Consider the following 8,530-nt stretch of genomic DNA (forward strand, 5'->3'; position numbering starts at 1 on the left):
TAGTTCTTTCACGGCATTTTGGTGGTTTCTAACTCTCTGTTCATCCAGAGAAGAGGAATTGTTCAGTGTGGAGAAGGAAGGAAAGGCAGTCATACAGAAACAGAGATATATCTACACACGGATACATGGGGCCCCTCAACCAAGATACCCATACAGGCCCAGAAAATCACTCAGTAATAATGATAAAACAATAAAACCGAAATTCCTTGAATGTCATGGTCTGTGCTAATAGTTAATTAAATCCCACAACAACCCTACGAAGTAGATACTATTATCATTCTCTCTCTCTCTTTTTAATTTTTGAGACAGGACCTTGCTCTGTTGCTCAGGCTGTAGTGCAGTGGTGCAATCACAGCTCACTGCAGCCTTGATCTCCTGGGATCAAGTGATCCTCCCACCTCCGCCTCCTAAGTAGCTGGGACTATTGATGCATGCCATCATGCCTGGCTATTTTTTAAATTTTATTTTTGTAGAGATGACGCCTCTCTATGTTGCCAGGGCTTGCTTCTCTCTCTCTCTCTCTCTCTCTCTCTCTCTCTCTCTCTCTCTCTCTCTCTCTCTTTAACAGATGGGAAAACTGAGTTCAAGAGGGGATGAGTAACTTTCCCAAGGCCACATAGGATTTAGACCCAGGCATCCCGACTCAGGAGTCTGTCCTTTTAGCCACAACTCACAGACAAGGGCACGGTGACAGAGGTCTGGGGATGGACACACATACACACAAACACACACACACGACAGAGACAGAGAGTATCTGGATTGTCCTTGTCCTCAGCATGAACACCATTCCGCTTTCAGGAGAGAGATGGCCAGATTGCAGTGGTGACAAGAACAGAGCATTGCCGTTACTGAAGACTTACTTTAATGAAATTCTCAGCTGGCTCAGGACATTTTGTTTCTCTCTAGATAACTTCCTGATGCTATCACTTTTGCATACCCTGTTTATTTCACCTGCTCCGTCTCTCCCTGGCCCAAAAGGGAGGCTCTGTTGGTTTGTTTGATGTTCCTTAGATACAAATGATCCTTCCCTGAATAACAAATAGGATGCACCCTTCAGAGGGATTTATGATTCACCTCTTGTTCCTCTAGTTTCTAAATGAGATACTTCCCCAGAAGGTGCTTTTTCCCAGTTAACACCTGAAACTTTGTCCCAGCAGATGGGTTGTCTGCTGAGCACACGGGCTTAGTTTTTCAGATCCTGGGCTTGATGTGTCACCCAGACTCTGGCCTCTGAAACCTTAGGCTGCCCAGAGTGGAGAAGTTGTCAGCAATGAGAACCCCTGCCTCGGCATATTTGTGGGTGTGAGGAGTAGTTCCTGTGGGAAGTTCCTGGGATAACAGTTTCTAGGTTGGGCTGGTCTCTTCATCCATCAGTTCTAGTCGCTATTGCTGCAAAACTGAGGGGTGTCATGCAGCCATTTTTATTACATTTACAGATTCTGTAGGTTAGGAATTTGGACAGGACCCAGTGGGGATGGTGTGTCTCTGCCCCATAGTGTCTGGGGCCTCTGCTGGAAAGATTTGAAGGCAGGTGTTGGCGGCGGGGGGAGTCACTTGATAGCTTTGGGCTGGAGTCATCTGGAGATGTCTTCACTTATATCTGGAGGTTGATATGATATATAACATCTGAAGCTGACCATCAGACAGAGCCAGATGGACGGAGCGCCTCTACTTGGCTTCCCCATGTGATCGCTCTGCGTGCGCTAGTTTGGGATGGTATACAGCATAGCCATGGGGTTTTAAGAGGAAGCATCCCAGCCGGGGGCGGTGGGTCACACCTGGAATCCCAGCACTTTGGGAGGCTGAGGTGGGTGGATCACCTGAGGTCAGGAGCTGGAGACCAGCTTGGCCAACGTTGTGAAACTCCGTCTCTACTAAAAATACAAAACGTAGCCGGGCATGATGGCACTCGCCTGTAATCCCAGCTACTTGGGAGGCTGAGGCAGGAGAATCACTTGAGCCCAGGAGGTGGAGGTTGCAGTGAGCCGAGATGGCGCCGTTGTACTCCAGCCTGGGCAACAAGAGCGAAACTTCGTCTCAAAAAACAAAACAAAACAAAAAAAATTGCGACATAGCACTGGAGGTTACATAATGTTACTTCTGCCATGCTGTTTTGGCTGAGACAGCCACAAAGTATTTCTAGGTTTAAGGGAAGAGGATACTGATCTCACCACTCAATGGGGAAGTGGCAAGGTTAGAAGAGGACGTGGGAAAAGCCTCTTTGCAGCCACCTTGGAGAATGTAACTGATATACCATTTCACATGTGAATCCCTTCCTTGTAGCCCACTGCATGCCCTTGCAGCTTCCGCTCTCCTATACTCCTATCATGGGGAGTTCACTACTTGTTCCAGTTAATTTTCTTTGAGTGTAAGCAACAGAAGCCCACTCTGGCTAACTTAAGCAACGCAGGATGTACTGACACAAGGTGGGGGGTGTTGAAGGATGGAAGGGAAGGCTGAAGATCCAGGCTTGGCATGAAAAACGACCAGGGCAGTGCAAGAAGAAGTCTTGTTCAGTCACGCCTGGGGGATAAATTCCAAACCATATTTGAAACTTTTAGTCATTCTGTTCAAAATTTAAATCACGAGGCGAGAAGATCTGAATGGCCCTGTGCTACGAACTTTACCACTTACTACTTACTTGACTCTGGGAAGGTTGTTTCACTGCTTTGTGACTCAGTTTCCTCATCTGTAAAATGGGGACACTCATAGCAGCTACTTCATAGTTTATGTGAGACTTAAATAAGATGGTGGTTACAAAGTGGTTAGCCCAAAGTCTAGCACATGGTAAATCTTCAATTAATATTAGCTAACAACTGCAACAATAACAACAACTGCTACTGTTACTGCAATGACTATTTTTACTATTATTATTTTTGAGATGGTGTCTCACTCTGTTGCCCAGGCTGGAGTGCAGTGGCATAATCTTGGCTCACTGCAACCTCCGTCTCCTGGGTTCAAGCAATTCTCCTGCCTCGGCCTCCTGAGTAGCTGGGACTACAGGTGCATGCCACTATGCCTGGCTAATTTTGTATTTTTAGTGGAGAAGGAGTTTCACCATGTTGGTCAGGCTAGTCTCGAACTCCTGACTTCAGGTGATCCACCCGTCTCGGCCTCCCAAAGGGATGGGATTACAGGCATGAGCCACTGTGCCCAAGCCAGACTATTACTATTTTGGTTGGCTTGCTTCTGTGCGTAGTACAGGGTCAGGCACACAGTAGGTGCTTAGTTTTAGTGCTGAATGCATGAACAAATAAATGAATGGCTTCTGCTCTAATACATAGCAATCAAGTTCTTTGAAGTCATCTTTAGACATTTCTTTCTTTTTTTTTTTTTTTTTTGAGATGGAGTTGCCCAGGCTGCAGTGCAGTGGTGTGATCTCGGCTCACCACAACCACCGCCTCCCGGATCCAAGTGATTCTCCTGCCTCAGCCTCCTGAGTAGCTGAGATTATGGGCATGTGTCACCATGCCCGACTAATTGTTTTGTATTTTTAGTAGAGACGGGGTTTCTCCATGTTGGTCAGGCTGGTCTTGAACTTCCAACCTCAGGTGACCCACCCGCCTTGGCCCCCCAAAGTGCTGGGATTACAGGTGTGAGCCACCGCACCCGGCCTAGACATTTCTTATAATTAGATCAAAACAAGAAAAATCAACATATAAGAATCTCAGTGCATTTAAATATTAGACCCACCCTCCTGAGTGACTGTTTTCTCTTTCTCTTCCTTCCTTCCTTCCTTCTTTCCTTCTTTCTTTCTTTCTTCTTTCTTTCTCTTTCTTTCTTTCTTTCTTTCTTTCTTTCTTTCTTTCTTTCTCTTTCTTCCTTCCTTCCTTCCTTCCTTCCTTCCTTCCTTCCTTCTTTCCTCCTTCCTTCCTTCCTTCCTTCCTTTTTGAAAGAGTTTTGCTCTTGTTGCACAGGCTGGAGTCCAATGGTTTGATCTCAGCTCACTGCAACCTCTGCCTCCTGGGTTCAAGCGATTCTCCTCCCTCAGCCTCTGGAGCAGCTGTGATTACAGGCGCCCGCCACCATGCCCGGCTAATTTTGTACTTTTGGTAAAGTACAAAATGTTGGCCAGGCTGGTCTCGAACTCCTAACCTCATGTGATCCACCCACCTCGGCCTCCCAAAGTGCTGGGATTACAGGTGTGAGCCACCGCACCTGGCCCTTGGTGATTGTGTTCTGTGTCTGTAGTCCTTCTTCTGAAAAATAATCCCTGGTGTTGCTCTTTGCCCGAGTCCTTCAGAAATGCTGCAAACAGTAAACAAGCAACTCCACTCCAAGGAGGTGAATCATCTGCTGACGGGATTGCATTCCACATCAATTCTCGTGTCATATTTGATTAATTTTGTATCTAGCTTCATTACATCTCATCCCTCATTTCAAAGGTGTCCTTCATAGGGGACACTGGAGGAAGCAGAGAGGGGAGACCGGGCAATGGACATCCTGCTGCGAAGAGTTCATGGATGCCCCAAACAGTAGCAACTGAGATTTAACCCTCTCAGAGTCCCACCTCTGCCCATGAGATGAGCTCTCTGCTGTTACTGCAGCGTTTCCCAAGCTTGAGTCACGGTGACCCAGCCACCATGAGACAGCCACTTTACACACCATTAATCAGCAGAATGGCTGGCAAATGCTAACCCACTTAGCAGTGATATCCTAGCAGGTGACAGCTACCGGAGCTGACAGCATCTGGCTGGAGGGCACACATCTCCAGGCAGGCCGTCTGGAGCTCTCTGAGTTCTATGTGGGTTACTGTGAAGCTGAAGGTGAGACTTCCAGCTTCCTGGCCAAGAGTTGCTTAAATGGGTCAGGGCAGGATTTAACTCTGGCACATCTGAGTTCTGGGCCCTTATTCACCAGGGCTGATGACATCTCCTTCCCATTCTTCCCCTTCTACCCACGTCCTACCACATCTTGGAACTCTGAGGATTCATCTAACATTTATTGAATTCAATTCAATAATTTGTTGAGTGGTGTAGCGGAAACCTCTGCTGTTTACGTTATGTCTGTCCTTTTGGCCCACTTCTAATTTCAGGTGAAGCTGTGTGCATGTGTGACTGTAGCTGTGGCTATGCATGGAGGCTGAGCCTGGATCCTGCCCTCAGACCATGCTGTAGTCATGGTCACAGACTGAGCCCTCATTTTGGTCACAGGCTGAGCTCTGATCATGGTCACGGACTGAGCCTTCCTCCTGGTCACAGAGAGAGCCTTGATTCTGGTCATAGACTGAGCTCTACAGACTAAGCTCTGATCATAAGAGAACACAGTGAGAAAGAGATTGAGGATGGCTCAGTTCAGGCCACCCTCACTTCTGCAGTCGCAGGCGGGAGCCGTGCCCTCTCAGTGGGATATGAGGAGTGGGGGAATCAGAGTAAAGGCATCCTGCATCTGAACAAAGACAGTGCCAATTATGGCAGCTTGCATTCTCAGGTTCTTAACTTGGAAAAAGCCGCTGTGGTTTCAGGCACAGCCTAATGAGGTTTTCAGAGCTGTGTCTTATTTCCTTTAGTGCATAGAGGTTATTGTGTTTTGCAGGAAAATTAACTAGCAATTAAATTTCTGAAAAAGTGTTTGAAACTCCTACAAGCAGTGCCTCATTGTTTTGCAAGATTGGGTACACAATGTAATAATTCCATCTGCAAATTAATTTTCTCTCACTCACGGCTTCTGATGTAACTGCAATGTCATCCATTTAGTCATTCATTCATCCTTTGATTCAGTGCACATTTACTACGTACCTCATGTTGAACCTGGCACTGTGGGGAGGGCAGAGGTGGGTCTCTGCTTCCCAGGCAGCTCCCTGTCTAGAAGGAAGACAAGATTTTCTCAGAAATAATGGTCAGAGGAGGCAGACTATGATCATTCCATTAGAAGGAGATTTATAGTGATTTGGACTTCCAGATTTAGGAGGAGGGGGAGGTAACTCCTGACTTTGTCTCAGTGAAGAAAGAATAGAAAGAAAGCTGAAAGTAGCCAGGCGCAGTGGCTCACGCCTGTAATCCCAGCACTTTGGGAGGCCGAGGCAGGTGGATCATGAGGTCAAGAGATCGAGACCATCCTGGCCAACAGGGTGAAACCTGGTCTCTACTAAAAACACAAAAATTAGCTGGGCATGGTGGCACGCGCCTGTAGTCCCAGCTACTTGGGAGGCTGAGGCAGGAGAATTGTTTGAACCTGGGAGGCAGAGACTGCAGTGAGCTGAGATCGCACCACTGCACTCCAGCCTGATGACAGAGAGAGACAGAGGAAAAAAAAAAAGAAAGCTGAAAGTTGTAGTAACTAACATTGATTAGGCACCTGCAATATGTCAGACTCTGTGGCAGGTGTTTTGCATCTGGGATCTCATTCAATCCTTAGGCCAGTCCTATGAGATGGTGTTATCACCCCCATTTACAGATCAGGAAACTGAGGCTCAGACAGGTTGGATGACTTGCTTAAGATCACATACCCAGCAAGTGTTGGAGTCTGTTTTGGAACTTGCAACTGTCTGATTAAAACATTTCCCACTAAACATGCTAAATTCTTTAAGGATGACTTCTTTGCCAAGTGGTTTGTAGCCTTCCTGCTTCCCATCAGCACAAATGAAGGAGTTGGAGAAGGTCTAGAGGGGAGCTCTGCCAAGGCCAGAATGACATCAAATGTGCTCTGAAGAAGTAAGCGGCTGGGACTGCAGGAGAGATGGCTACGTGGTCACTTACTGAATATCTACTGTGTGTCTACGTAGTGCTTTCCATACGTTTTCTCATTTCATCCTCACATACACTCTTCAGGGTAGGCATTATTAGCTGCATCATTTTTGTTGTTGTTAAGGAAATGAAGACTTAGAGAAGCTAAATGATCTGTTCACAGTCACACAACTGGTAAATGATGGAGCTGTGATTCATGCTCAGGTCTGTCTGACTCTGAAGTCTGACTCCTTTTCTTTTCTTTACCTATTCTTTTTCTTTTCTTTTCCTTTTCTTCTTTTCTTTCGTTTTCTCTTTTTTTTTTTTTTTTGAGATGGAGTTTTGCTCTTGTTGCCCAGGCTGGAGTGCAATGGTGTGGTCTTGGCTCACTGCAACCTCTGCCTCCCTGGTTCAAGCAATTCTCCTGCCTCAGCCTCCCAAGTAGCTGGGGTTACAGGCATATGCCACCATGCCTGGCTAATTTTTGTATTTTTAGTAGAGATGGGGTTTCACCATGTTGGCCAGGCTGGTCTCGAACTCCTGACCTCAGGTGATCCACCTGCCTTGTCTTCCCAAAGTGCTGGGATTACAGGTGTGAGCCACTGCGCTTGGGTCTGACACTTTTCTTTTTTTTTTTTTTTTAATTTTTATTTTTTTTATTGATCATTCTTGGGTGTTTCTCGCAGAGGGGGATTTGGCAGGGTCACGGGACAATAGTGGAGGGAAGGTCGGCAGATAAACAAGTGAACAAAGGTCTCTGGTTTTCCTAGGCAGAGGACCCTGCGGCCTTCCGCAGTGTTTGTGTCCCTGGGTACTTGAGATTAGGGAGTGGCGATGACTCTTAACGAGCATGCTGCCTTCAAGCATCTGTTTAACAAAGCACATCTTGCACCGCCCTTAATCCATTTAACCCTGAGTGGACACAGCACATGTTTGAGAGAGCACAGGGTTGGGGGTAAGGTCATAGATCAACAGGATCCCAAGGCAGAAGAATTTTTCTTACTACAGAACAAAATGAAAAGTCTCCCATGTCTACTTCTTTCTACACAGACACAGCAACCATCCGATTTCTCAATCTTTTCCCCACCTTTCCCCCCTTTCTATTCCACAAAACCGCCATTGTCATCCCGGCCCATTCTCAATGAGCTGTTGGGCACACCTCCCAGACGGGGTGGTGGCCGGGCGGAGACGCTCCTCACTTCTCAGACGGGGTCGCGGCCGGGCAAAGGGGCTCCTCACGTCCCAGACGATGGGCGGCCAGGCGGAGACGCTCCTCACCTCCCAGACGGGGTGGCGGCCGGGCAGAGGCTGCAATCTCGGCACTTTGGGAGGCCAAGGCAGGCTGCTGGGAGGTGGAGGTTGTAGCGAGCCGAGATCACGCCACTGCACTCCAGCCTGGGCGCCATTGAGCACTGAGTGAACCAGACTCCGTCTGCAATCCCGGCACCTCGGGAGGCCGAGGCTGGCGGATCACTCGCGGTTAGGAACTGGAGACCGGCCCGGCCAACACAGCGAAACCCCGTCTCCACCAAAAAAATACGAAAACCAGTCAGGTGTGGCGGCGCACGCCTGCAATCGCAGGCACTCGGCAGGGTGAGGCAGGAGAATCAGGCAGGGAGGTTGCAGTGAGCCGAGATGGCAGCAGCACAGTCCAGCTTCGGCTCGGCATGAGAGGGAGACCGTGGAAAGAGAGGGAGAGGGAGAGGGAGAGGGAGAGGGAGAGGGAGAGGGGAGAGGGGAGAAGGGAGAGGGGAGAGGGGAGAGGGGAGAGGGGAGAGGGGAGAGGGGAGAGGGGAGAGGGAGAGCGGCCCTGACACTTTTCATCTTACTTAGCTGCTTCTTCTGTGGTGTGGTGTATTCCCAGG

At 48.2% G+C, this 8,530-nt stretch overlaps 1 annotated feature.

Moving 5' to 3' along the window:
* Positions 6,669-7,589: an enhancer, noted in NCBI's record as "NANOG-H3K27ac hESC enhancer chr17:5623530-5624450 (GRCh37/hg19 assembly coordinates)". NCBI's record gives its function as "activates a minimal SCP1, AML or CMV promoter by ChIP-STARR-seq in naive H9 embryonic stem cells {active_cell/tissue: H9 hESC(naive)}" and the evidence as "EXISTENCE:reporter gene assay evidence [ECO:0000049][PMID:30033119]".

This window comes from Homo sapiens, chromosome 17 (assembly GCF_000001405.40).
Source record: "Homo sapiens chromosome 17, GRCh38.p14 Primary Assembly".
NCBI classification, from domain to species: domain Eukaryota; kingdom Metazoa; phylum Chordata; class Mammalia; order Primates; family Hominidae; genus Homo; species Homo sapiens.